At 43.4% G+C, this 21,911-nt stretch overlaps 1 protein-coding gene and 1 pseudogene across 12 annotated transcripts in view; one reads left to right on the top strand and one right to left on the bottom strand.

Moving 5' to 3' along the window:
• CECR2 (CECR2 histone acetyl-lysine reader) overlaps window positions 1-21,911 on the bottom strand; it is a 198,203-nt gene that overhangs the window by 34,774 nt on the left and 141,518 nt on the right. For 7 of the 12 annotated variants that reach the window (NM_001290046.2, NM_001290047.2, XM_017028785.2 and 4 more), the window contains exons 6-8: window positions 20,247-20,296; window positions 18,362-18,531; window positions 11,482-11,565 (exon numbers count right to left, since the gene is read on the bottom strand). In NM_001290046.2, coding sequence (NP_001276975.1) covers window positions 11,482-11,565; window positions 18,362-18,531; window positions 20,247-20,296 — 304 coding nt within the window. The remainder of the gene's footprint in view (window positions 1-11,481; window positions 11,566-18,361; window positions 18,532-20,246; window positions 20,297-21,911) is intronic. The other 5 variants (XM_011546128.3, XM_047441342.1, XM_047441341.1 and 2 more) reach the window with 1 other exon arrangement.
• On the top strand, window positions 4,101-5,743 carry DNAJA1P6 (DnaJ heat shock protein family (Hsp40) member A1 pseudogene 6; annotated as a pseudogene).

Below are 21,911 nucleotides of genomic sequence, written 5' to 3'. Positions count from 1 at the left end.
AGATGGAATCTCACTCTGTGAGACTGGAGTGCAATGGTATGATCTTGGCTCACTACAACCTCTGCCTCCCAGTTCAAGTGATTCTCTCGCCTCAGCCTCCCAAGTAACTGGAGTTACAGGGTACCTGCGACCACGCCCAGCTAATTTTTGTATTTTTAATAGAGATGGGGTTTCGCCATGTTGGCCAGGCTGGTCTCGAACTTCTGACCTCAGCCTCCCAAAGTGCTGAGATTACAGGCGTAATACTCCAACCTGGGAGATAGACCCTATCTCAAAAACACAAAACAAAACAAAACAAACTGGTTTAGATTCTCATTTGACTCCAAATTTAGAGACGATCTTGCCTAGATAGCAGGCTTTTTTTTTTCCCCCCGAGATGGAGTCTTGCTTTGTCACCAAGGCTGGAGTGCAGTGGCACGATTTTGGCTTACTGCAGACACTGCCTCCTGGGTTCAAGTGATTCTCCTGCCTTAGCCTCTCGAGTAGCTGAGATTACAGGTGTGTACCACCACGCCTAGCTAATTTTTGTATTTTTAGTAGAGATGGGATTTCACCATGTTGACCAGGCTGGACTAGAACTCCTGACCTCAGGTGATCCGCCCACCTCAGCCTCCCAAAGTGCTGGGATTACAGGCGTGAGCCATGGCGCGTGGCCCAGTTAGTTGACTTCTCAATGTCATTTTCACCATTCAAAAATCTATGAGCCTGACTTTAGAAGAGTTTACAGGTAAAAATCTGGAATGAACAGGAGGGACAAAAATAAAAACTGCATACGTTAACACTGTACCCATAAGGTGTCTCAGTGTAACAAACAGAATTAAATAACAACCATAAAATCTTTATCCTATAGCCAGAGCAGGCCAGTTTCAATATGGTGGATGTTGATTCTGAAAAGGGGATGCTATGGACACTTGGCAAGGACGACTGTCCCGAAGACTGCAACTCTGGCCACTGCTTCCCGAATAAATGTCTGTCAAGCACCTTCCCTAAATTTTGCCATAATCCCTGCTCTCACTTCCACCCCACTTCCAAGGTTCTTAATTGTTCCAGCAACATCTTTACCCAGCTGAGATATGATGAAACTGCAGTTAACAAAGCAAAGTAAAACAAAACTATTTGCCTTTGCTCTTTTCAGATGTATACTGATGCCAAAAAAACACCATAAGGTATCAGTTGACTCACATGGGCAGGGGAAAGAGAGGAGATAATACTGAGCCTTGTCACTACAGTAACCAAAACAGCATGGTACTGGTACCAAAACAGAGATATAGACCAATGGAACAGAACAGAGGCCTCAGAAATAACACCACACATCTACAACCATATGATCTTTGACAAACCTGACAAAAACCAGTAACAGGGAAAGGATTCCGTATTTAATAAATGGTGCTGGGAAAACTGGCTAGCCATATGTAGAAAGCTGAAACTGGATCCCTTCCTTATACCTTATACAAAAATTAATTCAAGATGCATTAAAGACTTAAATGTAAAACCTAAAACCATAAAAACCCTAGAAGAAAACCTAGGCATTACCATTCAGGACATAGGCATGGGCAAGGACTTCATGACTAAAACACCAAAAGCAATGGCAACAAAAGCCAAAACAGACAAATGGGATCTAATTAAACTAAAGAGCTTCTGCACAGCAAAAGAAACTACCATCAGAGTGAACAGGCAACCTACAGAATGGGAGAAAATTTTTACAATCTACTCATCTGACAAAGGGCTGATATCCAGAATGTACAAAGAACTTAAAGAAATTAACAACAACAAAAAAAATCAAACAACCCCATGAAAAAGTGGGCAAAGGATATGAACAGACACTTCTCTCTCTCTCTCTTTTTTTTTTTTTTGAGATGGAGTCTCGCTCTGTCACCCAGGCTGGAGTGCAGTGGCGCCATCTCGGCTCACTGCAAGCTCCACCATTCTCCTGCGTCAGCCTCCTGAGTAGCTGGGACTACAGGCGCCCGCCACCACGCCTGGCTAATTTTTTGTATTTTTAGTAGAGACGGGGTATCACTGTGTTAGCCAGGATGGTCTCGATCTCCTGACCTCGTGATCCTCCTGCCTTGGCCTCCCAAAGTGCTGGGATTACAGGCGTGAGCCACTGCGCCCGGCCGAACAGATGCTTCTCAAAAGAAGACATTTATGCAGCCAAAAGACACATGAAAAAATGCTCATCATCACTGGTCATCAGAGAAATGCAAATCAAAACCACAATGAGATACCATCTCACGCCAGTTAGAATGGCGATCATTAAAAAGTCAGGAAACAACAGATGCTGGAGAGGATGTGGAGAAATAGGAACGCTTTTACGCTGTTGGTGGGAGTGTAAACTGGTTCAACCATTGGGGAAGACAGTGTGACAATTCCTCAAGGATCTAGAACTAGAAATACCATTTGACCCAGTGATCCCATTACTGGGTATATACCCAAAGGATTGTAAATCATGCTACTATAAAGACACATGCACACGTATGTTTATTGCGGCGCTATTCACAATAGCAAAGACTTGGAACCAACCCAAATTGTCCATCAATGGACATCAATGATAGACTGGAATAAGAAAATGAGGCACATATACACCATGGAATACTATGCAGCCCAAAAAACCCAAAAAGACGAGTTCATGTCCTTTGCAGGGACATGAATGAAGCTGGAAACCATCATTCTCAGCAAACTATCACAAGACAGAAAACCAAACACCGCATGTTCTCACTCATAGGTGGGAACTGAACAATGAGAACACTTGGGCACAGGGCGGGGAACATCACACACCGGGGTCTGTCAGAGGGTGGGGGACTGGGGGAGGGATAGCATTAGGAGAAATACCTAATGTAAATGATGAGTTGATGGGTGCAGCAAACCAACATGGCACATGTATGTATACCTATGTAACAAACCTGCACATTCTGCACATGTACTCTAGAACTTAAAGTATAATAATAATTTAAAAATCCTACTTACAATAAAAAAAAAACCTGAGCCTTGTCAAAGGGAAGATTTCATTGAAAGAGAATTGTGATGCTTTATGTATGTCAGACCCCAAAATGAGAGGAAAACAGGTATATCTATATATCAAACATGAAAGTTATTTACAGAATTACCTATGTGTATTCTGGCCACTCTCCCCCACAACAAAAGACAATAGGTGTAAACCTGTGAAATATTCTTCTTTCATCAGTACAGGGTACATTAAATAGAATCTAACATTTTAATAAGGACTGAGCAAATGCAAGCCAATTACTCATGAAATTGTAATGTTAAGTCACTCAAGACTTGATAATCTGGCCAGGCACGGTGGCTCACGCCTGTAATCTCAGCACCTTGGGAGGCCAAGGTGGGTGGATCATGAGGTTAAGAGATTGAGACCATCCTGGTAAACATGGTGAAACTCTGTCTTTACTAAAAATACAAAAATTAGCTGGGCACGGTGGTGTGTGCCTGTAGTCCCAGCTACTTGGGGGGCTGAGGCAGGAAAATCGCTTGAACCTGGGAGGCGGAGGTTGCAGTGAACCAAGATTGTGCCACTGCACTCCAGCCTGGCAACAGAGTGAGATTATGTCTCAAAAAAAAAAAAAAAGACTTGATAATCTAAACCAACATAGGAAGTGTTCATGTGTTAAGTCAGTGGAGAGGGAGAAAGAGAAAAAACCCAAAAGCCAATAACCTAAATCTTACTAATATATAATTCTTTTTCTGTAATGAGTATGACTTATTATTCTTAATATGTAATATCTCACAATCAGTTAACAGTGCTCCCCTCAAACAAATGGAACACGAACACAAAACTCACAAACAATATATAAAGCACACGAGGGGCCGGGCATGGTGGCCCATGCCTGTAATCCCAGCACTGTGGGAGGCCGAGGTGGGTGGTTCACGAGGTCAGGAGATCAAGACCTTCCTGGCTAATGTGGTGAACCCTGTCTCTACTAACAATACAAAAAATTAGCTGGGCATGGTGGCGGGCGCCTGTAGTCCCAGCTACTCGGGAGGCAGAGGTTGCAGTAAGCTGAGATTGTGCCACTGCACTCCAGCCTGGGTGACAGAATGAGACTCCGTCTCAAAAAAAAAAAAAAAAACACAAAACACCTGAGGGAACTTTCCAGATGCTTGGTGTGAGGTGGAGGAGCAGTGGCTGCACGGACTGCACAGAGCTACAGGCCCCTCCCCACTCCCCACCACCAGCCTCAGCCCACTCACTGGCTACAGAAAATTGTGAAAGAAACCACTTACTATGACATCTTGGGGGTCAAACCTAATGCTACCCACGAAGAACTGACAAAGGCTTAAAAATGGCTTTGAAGTAATACCCTGGTAAGAATCTAAATGAAGGAGAGAAGTTAAATGGATTTCTCAATCTTGAGAAGTTCTCTCTGATGCAGAGAATAGGGAATTCTATGACAAAGGAGGACAGGCAATTAAAGAGGGTGGGGCTGGTGGCAGTTCTCATTCCCCCATGGACATCTCTGCTAAGTTTTTTTGGGGGAGAAGGAAGGATACTAAGAGAAAGGAGAGGTAAAAACTCCTACATCAGCTCTCAGTAGCCTTAGGAGATCTATCCAATGGTGAAAAAAGAAAACTGGCTCTGCAAAAGAATATGATTTGTGACAAATGTGAAGGCAGAGGTGTTAAGAAGGGAGCAGGATCCTGCTGTGCCAACTGCTGAGGTGCTTGAATGCAAACAGTAATTCATCAATAAGACCTGGAATGGTTCAGCAAATTCAATCTGTGTGCATGGAGTGCCAAGCCCATGGGGAAACCATCCGTCCTAAAGATAGACGTGACAGCTGCAATGGAAGGAAGACAGTTGCAGAGAAGGAGATTCTAGAAGTCCATATTGACAAAGGCATGAAAGATGGCCAGAAGATAACATTCCGTGGTGAAGGATACCAAGACCAGAACTGGAGCCAGGAAACATTACCACTGGGGTAGAACAGAAAGACCATGCTGTTTTTACTTGACAGGGAGAAGACCTTTTCCTGTGTACAGACACACAGCTGGCTGAAACACTGTGTGACTCCCAAACGCTAACATCTGCTTTCAAGACTGAACCATGGTCCAGGTCAGAATGTCAAGCACGGGGACATCAAGTGTGTGCTAAATGAAGGAATGCCAATTTACTGCACACCGTATGCAAAGCGTCGCCTAATCACTTAATTTATGTAAACGCTCCTCAGAATGGCTCTCTCTCCTAATAAACTCTCTTTGCTGGAAAAACTTCTACCTGGTAGAAAGGAAGTAGAAGAGACTGATGGGATGATCAAAAAGAACTGGTGGGCTCTGAGGCAAATCAGCAAAGATGGCAGCATTACAATGGAGAAGCATATGAGGGCAAGGAACACCATCTCCCCAGAAGAGGTGGTCAGTGTCAAAGCCCTTAACTGGGCCAGTGAGTAACACTCACTGCTGGCATTTTATCTGCAACAGTGACTGAGTGAAGGCCTGTAACCATAATATGCTCACTGCTTCCTATTGTTTTAAATATTCAGCTAGAGAAGTGTTTTAAAGGTAAATGAAGAATAAACGCAATGATAAAAACTCTGACTTTGCCCTGTTATGTACGATGACTTCGGTGTGCAAGACGAAATTTAATACCTGTAAAAACTACTTTAAGAAGCTCTCCTAGCATTTTAAGGCCAAGCCTTGTAACTGAGTTGTGTACGTGGATAAGTTTAGGCTGAAAAGCAATGCTAGGTATACGTACTGGCTTCAGTGTATGAACCTTCACCATTAACCTACGAAATTAAAACTGTATTTAACCGGCCATTAGAAAAAGACCCAAGCTAAATTTGTAGAGCAGTGTTGGTCTATATAGTTATTTGTATTAAGTGGGATTCATTGTAATGCCTTTGCATTTATTGTGTGGCTTCAAGTGTTACTCGAAGATGGCATAATATATAACTTAACCTGTGGTATCAGTGGTAGAAATGATACCGGTATTCCTCCGTTCTCACACTGCTATAAAGAACTACATGAGACTGGGATATATGAAGCAAAGAGGCTTAATTGACTCACAATTCCACAGGCTGTATAGAAAGGATGACTGGGAGGCCTCAGGAAACTTATAATCGTGGCGGAAGGTGAGGGGAAAGGAAGCACGTCTTAGCACAGCGAAGCAAGAGAGATAGAGCCAGAAAGCGCAAGTGCGCATGTGCGATGGGGGATGTGCCACACACTTTAAAACACCCAGATCTTGGCCAGGCGCGGTGGCTCACGCCTGTAATCCCAGCACTTTGGGAGGCTGAGGAGGGTGGATCACGAGGTCAGGAGTTCGAGACCAGCCTGGCCAAGATGGTGAAACCCCGACTCCACTAAAAATACAAAAATTAGCCAGGCGTGGTGGCAGGCGCCTATAATCCCAGCTACTCGGGAGGCAGAGGTTGCAGTGAGCTGAGATCACGCCACTGCACTCCAGCCTGGGCGACAGAGTGAGACTCCGTCTCAAAAAAACCCCGAAAAAACAATAAACAACCAGATCAGCTGGGCGCAGTGGCTCACACCTGTAATCCCAGCACTTTGGGAGGACGAGGCGGGCATTTCACCTGAGGTCGGGTGTTCAAGACCAGCCTGACCAACATGGAGAAACCCCATCTCTACTAAAAATACAAAATTAGCCAGGCGTGGTGGCAGGTGCATGTAATCCCAGCTACTCGTGAGGCTGAGGCAGGGGAATAGCTTGAACCCAGGACACGGAGGTTGCAGTGAGCCGAGATGGTGCCATTGCACTCCAGTCTGGGCAAAACTCCGTCTCAAAACAAAACAAAACAAAACACCAGCCAGATCTCCTGAGAACTCACACACCATCACAAGAACAGCAAGGGGGAAGTCCATCCCATGATTCATCACCTCCTACCAGGCCCCTCTCCTGACATGTGGGGATTGCAATTTGAGATGAGCTCTGGGTGGGGACACAGAGCCAAACCATATCAATACTTTTCTAAAGAAGGGATTTATCGTAATATGCTGCTTCTTGAGGGCTTGCACTTCGAGATTTGTGTTCCCTTCTGCTGTGCCATCCATGTGTACACACAGGTGCATGTACATACATGTATATATGTATATATACATATAAAATGTATACACATATAATATAATAAATGTGTATATGTATGTACATAACTGTAAATATGTGTGTGTGTATGGATATATATCCATATATATATATCTCTATATTTTGATCAATCCTGGTTATCTGTCCCTCTCCTCTTTGGACCATAAGCTCCTGAGTAGTGACTTCCAGAGCCAGGTAACATAGAAATTCAAGTGAAAAAACCTTTACACGAAGAAGTCACATACATATATAATATAGGAAGGTATTCCTTAGGTATGTTCAACAGGCTCACAGTTTAAACCATTTGACTTACGCCCCCCAAAGTAACTAATTTAAGGCTGGTACTGGCCGGGCGTGGTGGCTCACGCCTGTAATCCCAGCACTTTGGGAGGCTAAGGCGGGTGGATCACGAGGTCAGGAGATCGAGACCATCCTGGCTAACACGGTGAAACCCCATTTCTACTAAAAATACAGAGAATTAGCCGGGCGTGGTGGCGGGCGCCTGTAGTCCCAGCTACTTGGGAGGCTGAGGCAGGAGAATGGCTTGAACCTGGGAGGTGGAGCTTGCAGTGAGCCCAGATTGTGCCACTGCACTCCAGCCTGGGTGACAGAGCGAGACTCCGTCTCAAAAAAAAAAAAAAAAGGTTGGTAGTGCAGCAAATTATAAACAGCTTTTATTGTATGCTTAAAAATCTCATCACATGTTCACACGCTTAAATCTGGGTATCAGAATTTAAACAATTCTTGAAATGTATGAATGTCTCAATATACTGATCACAAAGTATCTTAAATATAATGCTCAATATGCAATAAATGCATAGAGGAAAAGCCTGAAGCAAATACGTAAAAACGTAAATAGTAATGATTCCTGAGTTGTGGGATTACCAGGTCTTTTACAGTTTTCTACATGTAGTCTCCACATTTTCTATAAAGACATGGTGGGCAGGTGGGAGCCTGCACCGGCCACGCCCAGCTGTGGCTCCTGCCCTTGCGGATGCCATCTGTCCCCCTAGTTATTGCTCCACCTGTCTCAGACCACTTTCTCCACAATCTGCCCCCTCCTCCAGCACGGCCCTGCACTTGTAAACACCTCCTGCTTAGCTGAATATGTCTGCCTCACATTTCTCTGGGCCTTTTTTCTTTCATCAGCATGGGTTACCATTTTACCATTTTAGCAGTTTCCCATCTGATGTGAATTCTCAACAATTACAATTTTACCTAAATGACATTACACACATATGAGAAAAAAAAAATCTATGTTGTGAACAACAAATCTGCTTTTCTTTTTTTTTTTTTTTGAGACGGAGTCTTGCTCTGTCGCCCAGGCTGGAGTGCAGTGGTGCGATCTTGGCTCACTGCAAACTCTGCCTCCCGGGTTCACGCCATTCTCCTCCCAAGTAGCTGGGACTACAGGCGCCCACCACCACGCCCAGCTAATTTTTTGTATTTTTAGTAGAGACGGGGTTTCATCGTGTTAGCCAGGATGGTCTCGATCTCCTGACCTTGTGATCTGCCCAACTCGGCCTCCCAAAGTGCTGGGATTACAGGCGTGAGCCACCGCGCCTGGCCCACAAGTCTGTTTTAAAATTCCTCTGCTGATTTTCAGCACTAGGCTGATGCAAGGTAAAGCAAGTCTTGATGAAAACACCACTAAAAAACAGGACTCACTTTTTGTAGTGTTTTAACTATTAAAGAACCAGTACAACCAAATGAATGACAACTGGCCAAGCAAAAATAAACCTGCACAGTTACAAAAATGTGATACTGTCTTAGGCTGCAATTTTTTTCTTTAAAAGGTGGGGTCAGTTGCAAATGGTAGAGATGTTGGTGTAGGAATGCTTTACAGATAAGAGTCCTGCTAGAATCAAGGGGGTTTTTAATGAGAAGCTAATGAGAAACAACACTTTAAAATCCAGTCAAGGACGATTCAACAGAACCCCTGGTTTAAGCAATGCCCAACATGCTGTGCCCTTACACGCTCCCCTCTCTGAGGGCAGGTATCAGACTTGCTGGCACCCTTGCTCCCGTTAGCAGCACATTTGAGACGAACACCCAACAAACAGCTCCCTAGCAACAGCAATGACCAAAGTGTCCGGACAAAAATAACCACTGCATCCCGAATCCCTGAGTTCAGCGAGACAGTCTCCCCTCACTGATATTTTCCCCAAGAAGTCACAACTCAAAGTCTTTTATCAGGCAATAAGTTTGGACTGCTGAGTGACCAATAGAGGCCAGAAACCCTGCCTCCATGCTTAAAAAGTCATGTCACCACTAAGGGTTTCTCCAGGATATCGGGGACCACAACAGATAGTTTACAGTCTCTGTAATACTGTGGTTTCTTTTTGTTCGAACTGAAGAGTAGAATAAAAGAAAGCTCAAACACTGCCAAGAATAAAAGAAGAAATTTTAGTGTTTGATGCCAAAGTTTTGCTTGGAGCAATGAAGGACGTTTCAGTCTATTCAGCCTGCTATGCAGTCTGAAGTGTTAAGTTATGGCATCTAGGAATACTCAGAGCAGTGAACAGTAAACAGAAAAGGGAGCTTGCAAGGAGGTGTGAACTGTCAAGGTAATAAAGACAGCAGAGAGAGCCCAACAAGGCCAGGCTAGAAAACCATTTGAGAACATGGCTGAATACCAGGGACCAAAGGCCACTCTGAAATTAGTGACTGCTAGGAGGAAGAGGATACTGGAGAAGGGAGGTCAATCATGAATAGAATTGTCAACCCCCAGGTAATTAAACATCGGGCAAGACACATCTCTGAGTTAAAAAGAGACAGATGTGAAATCAAAATATACTGAAGTAAATACAAATTTATAAATTAGCTTTCCCTTTTCAGGGCTCAAGGTAGAATGTGTTTAGTTACTGACAAGATCTCTGTAATAGAACATCGTGTCGTCACTCAAATTTAAGATCCATGAAAATGTTACTGAAAGGCAAAAGGAAGGCTCCGTAACGTAACAATTCAAAGACATGGTCCAGAGTAAAACTACTGTCCCTTAACTCAAAACTCTCTACGATCACTGAACTGTTTAAATATTCGATGAAAGAGTGCCCAAAGGATAAACGGTTAAAAAGTGTTGTCCCTTCCTACAGTGTGATGTGATGTGATAAAGTAATTTAACTATTTTTTTTCAGAGGTGGGGTCTTGCTATGTTGCCCAGGCTGGTCTCAAACTCCTAGGCTCAAGTAAATCTCCTGCTTCAGGCTCCTGAGCTACACTACAGAATGAAAATGCCGAAACACAGTCAGCTCCAGAATGCTCCTTGGACAACTCTTTTAATTAGTGGTTGCACCAAATATTCTTTCTTCACCTAACATTATATCTCAAACTCCCACATGATGCCCTCTCTCTTTCATGTGACCTAAACATTTCCCTGCCCTCCCATTTATGTTGTTTTGCTTTGTGTCTTAGAAGAAATGTGATTATCTACCCTCCATGGCGAGGTCTTGACACCTAAGAATTTCATCTCCCCACAGATCAGCCAGATCCACGCTCTCTCATTCCTGGACCCTTTTCAGGTCCATGCTACATCTCCAATTAGAAACAAAACAACAAACTTGCCACAAACTCTCAGGTTTTCTTTTCTTTCTTTCTTTTTTTTTTTTTTTTTCTGAGACAGAGTGAAACTCTGAAGTTGCCCAGGCTGGAGTGCAGTGGTGCGATCGTAGCTCACTGCAACCTCCGCCTTCTGGGTTCAAGCAATTCTCCTGCTTCAGCCTCCCGAGTAGCTGGGATTACAGGTGCCCGCCACCACACCCAGCTAATTTTTGTATTTTTAGTAGAGATGGGGTTTTGCCATGTTGGCCAGGCTGGTCTTGAACTCGTGAGTACAAGAAATCCACCTGCCTTGGCCTCTTAAAGTGCTCGGATTACAGGCATGAGCTACCTGTGCTTGGCTCTAATATATACTGTTTTTTGACCATATATATTTATATCATTTTATATAAATTTATATAATTTCCTGTCTCTGTGCTTTTGTTTCTACTACTCCTGTAGTGTGGGATGCCTTCTGCCCCACCTCTCCCACCCTCTTTGCTCCCCTTCCATCAATCCCAGCCATCTCAGGATTCAGGTCAAATATGGCTCTGCCTACTCAAATTCTCCTTCCGTTGCCCAGCTCTACATCCTCCCATCTTTGCATTTGTGAACTGCTCCTATACATGCACCTATTGCAGTACGTATTCTTATTAAATGTGGACATGCCTACCATCCCAGGAGATTGTCAGAACCAGAGTGTGGCCTCACGTCTTCTAATTCTTTCTCTTTCTAGAAATGTATCTTAAGCATAAGATTGCTAAATAAACATTTGGGGTTTAGGAAAAAAAATGAAGGAAAATAAAAAGGCAGGAATGGAAGTACATGAAAAGGATCCGTCTCTTTCATCAGGAAAGCTCCTCCTCGCTACTCTCACCCACACTCACCTCTTGCTTGACGGGTTTGATGGACAGGTGGTCAGACATCCACCTAGGATGCAACTCTGCCTTTGTGCGCTGTGGACGTTTTCCCTATAGTTAGAAGTGAAGAAGAGAAAGGAAAAGATAGATTAGGGTGTTCTCAACTACTGATGCTGCTGCTGCTGCTGCCGCCAGTAAAAAAGTGGCCAATGAGGCACACAGGTTAGGGCCAAAGGCTTCCTTAGGACAATCAGGAACCACTGCTCAGCTGTGTAGGGACAGAAGCCAGTTTATTCTCTTGAAAAAATAAAAACAAAAACTTGGAGACAAACAAGTGTCTTTTATAATATGTATCACTGGCAAAAAACTCCCTTAACAGTTTAAACAGTAAAAAAAAAAAAAAAATTATCTTCCCAAATTACAAAGGGAAAGCCATGCTTTATCACCTTCAGCTGAAGGGGCGGCTCTGGGAGGGGGCATCAGGAGCAGCCGGAGGTGGGCCGCCGGGCAAAGGCAGCACAGTGGCAGCAGTGAGAAGTGAGAGCAGTTGCCCAGGAGGGGAAGCCAGGGAGAGAGCAGGGGTGGGAAAAGGGCTCAGCGAGCAGAATGCGGTGAGTGCCAAGGAAATGCACCAGGCTGGAAAGCAGTCCTTATAGGAAATTTCAAAGAAAGAGCATGGAGAACTACTTGTATCTAGGTTACTACTTTTGAAGGCCAAGGTTTATTAGCACATGTAAGTTTTGCAATTTGTGAGGAATGAGCCCCATGGCATCACCAACTGTAACCTACTACTAAAAGGTAACAAGCAAAGGCCTTCCCTTAAGATAACATAACTTCCGTGACTTCCGCATCAAAAATCTGCATTCTCCAGGGTCAGTTCTGGCACCACTTAATCCATTAGGTAAGGAATTATAGGATAGAAAATGACAAGAAGGGGTGGTTTATACAACTTAAACATACCGCAAAGCCACGGGGGTACATTTAGTGAGTCAGCAACTTTAGAAAGCTTTTCTGTTTCGGGCTGGGTGGGGTGGCTCACGCCTGTAATCCCAGCACTTTGGGAGGCCGAGGTGAGCGGATCACGAAGTCAGGAGATCAAGACCATCCTGACCAACATGGTGAAACCCCATCTCTACTAAACACACACACAAAAAATTAGCCAGGCATGGTGGTGCGTGCCTGTAGTCCCAGCTACTCAGGAGGCTGAGACAGGAGAATTGCTTGAACCTGGCAGGCGGAGCTTGCAGTGAGCCGACATCATGCCACTGCACTCCAGCCTGGGCGACAGAGCGAGACTCCATCTCAAAAAAAGAAAGAAAGAAAAAGAGAATGACTAGTGCCTAATGCAAATGCAAGCCCAATTATCAAACGCTGTCATGACCTTCTTTAAGTACTTGTCCCGAAAAACCTAGCCCAGCAGTTTCCTGAAATATACCTATAAGCTCTTTTTTTTTTTCATAGGTTCTTGTTCTGTCGCCGAGGATGGAGTGCAGTGGTGCAATCATAACTCACTGCAGCCTCAAACTACTGGCCTCAAACAATCGTACCACCTTGGACTCCCAAAGCACTGAGATAGCGATTATTTTATAAGCCTCAAGACTCTAACAAGATCTCTTCAACTTTAAGTACAGTAAAAACTTATCAGGGAACTGCCTTCCAAAGGGATTATGCCAGTTTACCATGATAGTTGCAAAAATGACAATGCCAGCTTCACTTCAACCCTGCCAAATCAGATAAAAGCTACGAATGAGAAAAATGCTATTCTTGATACAGAACGTGAATGTTTCCCTACGCACTTTCCCATCGCCGCATCTGTAAACCATCTATACCCTTAGTCAATTTATTTGTTGAGAAATTAAAGTTTATAAAGCTGTATATTCTGTAACATGAGCAACAAGCTCTACCAGTATCTACATCGCCTTTTATTTAAACAAACAAAAAAAAGGTTTAAGTAAACTTTTATATGGCCATCACAGCAGGACTTACCTTCTGTTAATTATTTCAAAGTTTAGAGGACGATCATATAATACCTCAACAAAGATGTATCAAATCTTCTGATGGCGGACAGAGAAGGATTAACGTCATCCATTATTGCCTTTATGTTACTATAAAATGTGGGTTTAGTTTTCTATCAAGGTTTCTCATCAATTATCCACTACCATAAACAATGGGAGAGGACCGAGTAGTGTCTTTTGATTGCCAAATACTATGCTCTGTACATTGACATGGGTTCTTTGTAATTAAACAAAAACTTCTGTCAAGTGATAGCATTTCATTTTACTAATAAGAAAACTGAAATGGACCCCACTTCTACAAAAAATTAAAAAATTAACTGGGCGTGGTGGTGTGTGCCTATAGTCCAGGTACTCAGGAGGCTGAGGGAGGAGAATCGTTTGAGCCCAGGAATTCAAGGTTACAATGAGCTATGATCACGCTACTGCACTCCAGCCTGGGTAACAGAGTAAGGTCCCTGTCTCTGTTTAAAAAAAAAAAAAAGAAAAGAAACAAGGTGAAATGGAATGGTATCAAGAAACTTATCCAAGGGACAGGACAGGGGAGTGTCATAATTTAAGCAGGTTTGAAAGAAAAGCTCCTGACTCTTCCACATACCACATTAACCCCTCTTCCACTGCCCCGTTTCTTGTGCCTCCATTACACACTGCATTTTCTTTTCTTTTTTTTTCTCCATCTGTCGCCCAGGCTGGAGTGCAGTGGTGCGATCTCATCTCACTGCAACCTCTGCCTCCTGAGTTCAAGCAATGCTTCTGCCTCAGCTTCCTGAGTGGCTGGAATTACAGGCACCCATCACCATGCCTGACTAATTTGTGCATTTTTAGTAGAGATGGGGTTTTGCCATGTTGGCCAGGCTGGTCTTGAACTCTAGACCTCAGGTGATCCACCCGCCTCGGCCTCCCAAAGTGCTGGGATTACAGGCATGAGCCACCACGTCCCTGGCCCCAGGTCAACATTTTTAAATGTTGCATCTTACTATTCTTTATTGTGTTACACTGGATAAGACTGCAAAACAGTATTACCAGTAAGATAGTCTCAAACATTACTCTTTTGGTAACAAGACAGCTTTTACTTCTCGCTATTAACAATCTGACACGCAGTCATGTGTTATACTTAACAATGAGGATATATTTTGAGAAACCACATTCTTAGGTGATTTTGTTATGTTTTCAACAATATAGAATTCAGGGACTAGATGGCATAGCCTACTACACAGCTAGGCTATGGGGTACAGCCTGAGGGTCCTAGATGGTATAGCCTACTACAACCCTAGACGATGTAGTGTGCTACACACCTAGGTTATGGGGTATAGCCTATTACTCCTAGATGGTGTAGTCTACTATATACAACCCTAGATGGTAGGGCCGACTACACACCCAGACTACAGGATATATAGCCTATTGCTCCTAGGTGGTGTAGCCTACTACTTACAATCCCAGACACACAATGGTAAAGTATTTGTGTATCTAAACATACATAAATAGAAAAGGTGCAGTAAAAATACAGTATAAAAGATTTAAGAACTGACACACCGAGATAGGGCACTTATCATGAATGGAGCTTGCAGGACTGGCAGTTGCTCTGCTGAGTCCGTGACTGAGTGGTGTGAATGTGAAGGTTAGGACATTACAGTACACTGCTGTAGACCTTGTAAACACAATGCATTCAGGCTGCACTCAATTTATAAAAAGAAATGGAATTGTGCTACAGTGTCATAAAGGCTATGACGATAGGAAATTTTCAGCTCAATTATAATCTTATGGGACCACAGTGGTATAAATGGTTTGTCATTGACCAAAACATGGTTACTTGGGGCATTATTGTATATACTATGGAATGAGGAGAGTATGTTTAATTTTATCAGGTATGGCGTTCAAAGATATCTATATCAGAACGAACAGAGTAGCTTCCAGTTATTTCTTTCATTTTGGAAATGTTTGGAAGTTATCTTTTCCTTGAAGGTTTAGAAAACTTTACCTGTGAATAAATCGATCCTTCTGTGAGAACTCCCTAATTATTAGTCTGCTAAGATTTTCTACTTCCCAATTTAGATTTTTCTTACTATACTATTCTTCTGGTTAATAGGACTTCATTGAGGTTTTTGAACTTAAAAGCACTATCTATTTCTTTGAAAATATCAAATCCATTATTTCTTTCTGGTCTGCAACTCCATGGTTCTTGAAAATTGTATTTAAAGATTACCCTATTTAAGGGTTACCTTATTTGAATTTTTCTCCTTTTGAAAAGAATCAATGCTTGAAATTTTTAATCAAAATCATCAGTTTTATGCTTTAAGTTTTTTTTCCCCTTAATTCTTCTATCCCCCAAAATGTTAGGCTGAATATAGCAGTAAAAAAGCAGAAATGATAAAAGAAGGCTTAAGGTGACTGGGTATATTTCCAGATAATTTAATGTGCCATGACTGATGATATCAATAAAGTCATATGCAAGGTTACACAAAGTCATAAAAACTATCTCTTTACATCATTGTTACTTTAAGAAAATTAGATTATATATTTTAATTCCTAGAAAAATTGTTGCAGTGAATTGCTGATCACAAAAACAGAATGCAATTATCGTACATGAACTTAAGTACACCGATGGTGAAACGGAGGTTTTCTGGATCATCCAGGACGGCGGAAGTCTTGAAGCACTGTTTGTAAGTTCCCGTTATTAGAGAAAGGTAATTTCTAGGACTTTCCCTAAAGCATCAACCTGCTTAAGGGTTAGACACAGCACCAGATCTACAATAAATTAAATAATACATTTGACATGTTTGCCTCCCTGTAGGTACTGCAGTGATGATTTACAAATACTTTCTCTTCATATTTCACTGGCAAGTGGTCAAATATTTCTGGTCCTCTATTAACATGTATCAATAATCAGAAATATTATTATCGATATGAAATAAGCAAACTGAATAATTATCAACCAACCACCATAGAAAAGGCAAGGCAGGCTAAACGTGGTAGCTCACGCCTGTAATCATAACACTTGGGAGGCCAAGGTGGGTGGATCACTTGTGGCCAGGAGTCAAGACCAGCCTGGCCAACACAGCGAAACCCCATCTCTACTAAAAATATAAAAACATTAGCCAGGCATGGTGGCGCACGCCTATAGTCCCAGCTACTTGGGAGGCTGAGGCATGAGAATCGCTTGAACCCAGGAGGTGGAGGCTGCGGGGGGCCAAGATTGTGCCACTGCACTCCACCCTGAGTGACAGAGCGAGTCTCTGTCTCAAAACAAACAAACAAACAAACAAAAAAACATGAAAAGAAATGACATTAAGTGTCGTGGCTGTTAAAAAGATAAGACATGGTCCTTGAGATGAAGAAGCCTGAACTCACAAAGATATAAAATAAGCATAAAGAAACATGTTAAGCGACAAAAGGCTGGGGGAAACAAGGACAGTTCATGGACGTAGTGACATTTAAGTAAGGCTTTTGAGAGAGTAGTATTTAAATGGGTAAGGAAGTAGAGAGGGGGCCAGGTGTGGTGGCTCACACCTGTAATCCCAGCACTTTGGGAGGCCAAGACAGGAAGAGTGCTTCAGCCCAGGAGTTCAGGACCAGCCCAGGCAACATAGGGAAACCCTACGCACAGATAAAATTAAAAGATTAGCCAGGCGTGGTGGCATGTGCCTGCAGGCCCAGCTACTCGAGAGGATCACTTCGGCCTGGGAGATTGAGGCTGCAGTGAGCTATGACTGCACCACTGTACTCCAGCTTGGGAAATAGAGCAAGACCCTGTCTTAAAGCAATAAAAGCTGGGCACAGTGGCTCATGCCTATAATCCCAGCACTTTGGGAAGCCAAGACAGAAGGATAGATTGAGGCTAGGAGTTTGGGACAAGCCTAGGCAGCAGAGCAAGACCTCGTCTCTACAAAAAATAAAAAATAATTAGCTGGGTGTGGTGGCACGAGCCTGTGTCCCCAGCTACTTGGGAGGTTGAGATGAGAGGATCACATGAGCCTGGCAAATCGAGGCTACAGTGAGCTGTGACCACACTACTGCATTCCAGTCTGGGCGACAAAGTGAGAGAGCTTGTCCTTAAAAAAAAAAAAAAAAAAAAAAAAGCCGGGTGCAGTGGCTCACACCTGTAATCCCAGCACTTTGGGAGGCTGAGGCGGTATATCACTTGAGGTCAGGAGTTCTAGACCAGCCTGGTCAAAATGGTGAAACCCTGTCTCTACTAAAAACACAAAAAATTAGCTGGGCGTGGTGGTGGTGTGAGCCTATAATCCCAGCTACTCAGGAGGCTGAGGCAGGAGAATCGCTTGAACTTGGAAGGCAGAGGTTGCAGTGAACTCAGATTGCACCGCTGCACTGCAGCCTGGGAGACAGAGAGAGACTCAAAAAAAAAAAAAAAAAAAAAAAGGAAAAAGAGGATGAAGGATGTTTGAAAATGCATGAAGTAGGGTGTACATGCATGATAATATGGGGCATATGGTTTATGAGACTATAGCTTGCCCTGAATTTGGTGAAGAGGACACAATCAGGTAGAGCCAGGCAAAGGGCTGGCAATGGAGCTACAAGGACAAAGACAAACCCACAAGATTTTTTTTTTTTTTAAAGCATTACACAGGGACTCAAGGAATGTTTCCTGAGGAGTGTATGGGAGAAGGAAAGTTGGTTCCAGGCTGTGAAAAGCCACCGTCACTATTGGTGGGTGGTAGACACTGAGGACTTTCTGGGGGAAGGAGAACATGATAGGACCCACAGTGAAGGAGAGGGGGTGGCATGAGGTCCCATTCTAACACTGGAGTTCAGACAGGATGGAAGACTGCACTATTTCCAGGACAGTGGGGTGTATGGGGAAGGTCTCATGAATAATCCTTAAATAATGCAGCATCAGGCCTAACACTGAGGAGGACAGAGCAGAGAGTGTGGCGCACCTTCTGGGCGATCATGTTGCAGATCTCAGGCAGGAAGTCCTCACTGAGGAGCTTGTAGAGCTGCCGTTCTCGAAGGGAGGTCCTCTCGCGAAAACTCTCGGTGACCTGTCTCCATTCCTCTTCTGTCTGGCACAGGAGCCACCAAGTACCTTGGCCTGGCCCTTGGGACCCTAGAAAATAAAGGAACGGATTCACTACAGGAGATCCCATGAGGACCTTTCCTTATTTATTCTCAATTTTGTTTCTACTGTGGGTCATGACTAAAATAAGGAACTCGGCCGGGCGCGGTGGCTCAAGCCTGTAATCCCAGCACTTTGGGAGGCCGAGGCGGGCGGATCACGAGGTCAGGAGATCGAGACCATCCTGGCTAACACGGTGAAACCCCGTCTCTACTAAAAATAGAAAAAAAAAAATTAGCCGGGCGCGGTGGCGGGCGCCTGTGATCCTAGCTACTCGGGAGGCTGAGGCAGGAGAATGGCGTGAACCCGGGAGGCGGAGCTTGCAGTGAGCCGAGATCACGCCACTGCACTCCAGCCTGGGCGACAGAGTGAGACTCCGTCTCAAATAAATAAATAAATAAAAATAAAAAAAATAAAATAAGGAACTCAAAAAAGAGACCTATTACTTAATTTTATTTTTTTTGAGACAACGTCTGGCTCTATTGTCCAGGCTGGAGTGCAGTGGTGCCATCTCAGCTCACTGTAACCTACACCTCCTGGGCTCAAGCCATCTTCCCATCTCAGCACCCCCCAAGTAGCTGGGACTACAGGTGTGTACCAGCACATCCAGCTAAACTTTTGTATTTTTCGTAGAGACAGGGTTTTGCCATGTTGTCCAGGCTGGGCTCTAATTCCTGAGCTCAAGTGATCTGCCTGCTTCGAACTCCCAAAGTGCTGGGATTACAGGTGTGAGCCACTGCACCTGGCCTACTTTTAAATTTTATTTATTTATTTATTTATTTATTTATTTAGAGGCAGAGTCCTGCTCTGTTGTCCAGGCCGGAGTTCAGGGGCACCATCTCAGCTCACTGCAGCCTCCGCCTCCTGGATTCAAGTGATTCTCCTGCCTCAGCCTCCCGAGTAGTTGGGATTACAGGTGCCTGCCACCACGCCCAGGTAATTTTTGTATTTTTAGTAGAGATGGGGTTTCACAATGTTGGCCAGGCTGGTCTCGAACTCCCGACCTCAAGTGATCCATCCACCTCGACCTCCCAAAGTGCTGGGATTACAGGCATGAGCCGCCACAATGGCCTCTTTTTGACTTTAAAGTTGACAATGTATACTTCTGGTTTTCCTGTTAAAGTCATTGTTAACAACTAAAAAAAAATGTAATGTCTAAAGGCAATACAAATATAACTACTGTGAATTTAACAAGATAGATATTCACAGTCTAGAAATGATTAAATATATTGACAGAAATGGTTTTGATTTTGAGTCTTTGCTGAGTCTACCCTGCCTCAACTACACTGTGCAAACTGGTATGTGCCTCCCATTTTTATGTTATTTGGATTACAAAATTAAAATCTAGGTAGGAAACCAGTATGTAGTAAACCTATAAGGAAACCATTGTGTCATGAAGCACTGACATTAAAAAGACCTCTCTTTGAGAAGCTGGTTATTCACTCCAACGTTAAGGTGTCTATTACACTGTCCCCAGTAAACAGGGCACTAGTGAAAAGATCTAGTTCTGATCTTAATCCTTAGTCAGATGATGAGCTGGGCACAGGATAAGGTGTGAGGAGGAGAACTGAAGAAGAGTACAGGGGGTAGGTAAAAGGCTATTGCAATAACCTTTACTTTGTATGACTCTAGAAAAAGAGTCAACACCCTAGCATAAATGAATCATATTTATTTAATTCTTTCTAAATGCCAGTAAAGAACATTACCATGTCTTGTCTGTGGCTCGGATGCCAAGGAATTTTCTTCCTGCTTTTCACTGAAACACAGGAAAAAGAGGTGCCAATTAAAACAAAGACAGGTCCAAAATTGTTCTGTGCCACCCCAGGATGGTAGAACCCATTAATTTAACACAAAGAGAGTGTATGTGTGTGTGTTAAGGGGACAAGGCTTGGAGGCGGAACGCTGAATAAATGAACACTAAGATGCAGGCATGCTGGTCTAGGAGGGAAGTACTGACATACAGCTACCCTATGTTATGGCAACAGTATCAATGCATAAGAAAACAGTAACTTTTATTTTTTATTTTTATTTTTTTGAGACGGAGTCTTGCCCTGTCACTTAGGCTGGAGTGCAATGGCGCGATTTCAGCTCACTGCAACCTCCGCCTCCCAGGTTCAAATGATTCTCCTGCCTCAGCCTCCTGAGTAGCTGGGACTATAGGCACCCGCCACCAGGTGCAGCTAATTTTTGTATTTTTTAGTAGAGACGGGATTTCACCATGTTGGCCAGGCTGGTCTTGAACTCCTGACCTCATGATCTGCCTGCCTTGGCCTCCCAAAGTGTTGGGATTACAGGCGTGAGCCACCGTGCCCAGCCAGAAAACAGTAACTTTTAAAGCTTTTTTTGGAAATCAAACAGATGCACTGTTTTTTTTGTTTGTTTGTTCTTGTTTTTTATCACTGCTCCAGTCAAGAGAGAGATGCAACTGTTAATAATTAAATGCCAAGAAAAAAGAACTGTAGGGATTCCAATGTCCTCCTCCCTGATTCAGGGCCGCACTGAAGACAGGTGTATTTATTATAATTGATCCTTACCTAAGGCAGAGGGTTAAGAGCATGGGCTCCGAAGGGGGAATGCCTCTATTCAAGCTGTGCCACTTACAATGTGACCTCAGGAAAGTTAATTAACTTTCCCCCAAAATGGAGCTATTAATAGTGCCTACCTCACAGGGACGTTGGAGATTAAATGACAAAATGCAAAGTGTATAACGCATTAGGATGAAGTATCATTTTCACTTGTATCCCTGAAACAGAAAGGACACTCTGTGGACTTTTCGCTTGTTTTCGATTAAAGTTTCTATGAGAATGAAAATGTTCTATATTGGCATTATCCAATAAACCATGTGGCTGCTGAGCATCTGAAACGTGGCCAGCGTGAACCAGAAACTGAATTTTAAATTTAATGAAAAAATATTTAAATACTGGCTTACACACACAGCTCTAAAGGAAAAAAGTCACCAGTAGAGGGTAGCACAAGTCCATGGATGCTTGTTAAAATGATTCTACAGTCCCAACCCTAAGCTACTGTGATTCTTGATACTTATGGGGAAACGGAGACAGGTATCATGCAGCTTTCTGAATATCGAAGGACGTGTGAAATCCTAACAAACCCGGAAACAGGTGTTGATACATAAAACGTTAAGTAATTACAGGACATTTGTCACAGAAACGGATAAGCAAGAAATAGGCAGCTGCAATCTGAAGCTGAACTTCTGTAAAGTTAAGTGGATGCTGATTGAGTTAAAATCAGGATCTGAGTGATCTACATTCTTTTTTTTTTTGAGATGGAGTATCGCTGTGTCGCCCAGGCTGGAGTGCAGTGGCATAATCTCGGCTCACTGCAAGCTCTGCCTCCCAGGTTCACGTCATTCT

The sequence above is a fragment of the Homo sapiens genome, chromosome 22, assembly GCF_000001405.40.
Source record: "Homo sapiens chromosome 22, GRCh38.p14 Primary Assembly".
Taxonomy (NCBI): Eukaryota; Metazoa; Chordata; class Mammalia; order Primates; family Hominidae; genus Homo; species Homo sapiens.
The sequence above is the reverse complement of the archived record's forward strand: the minus strand, read 5'-3'. Positions and strand labels throughout refer to the sequence as shown.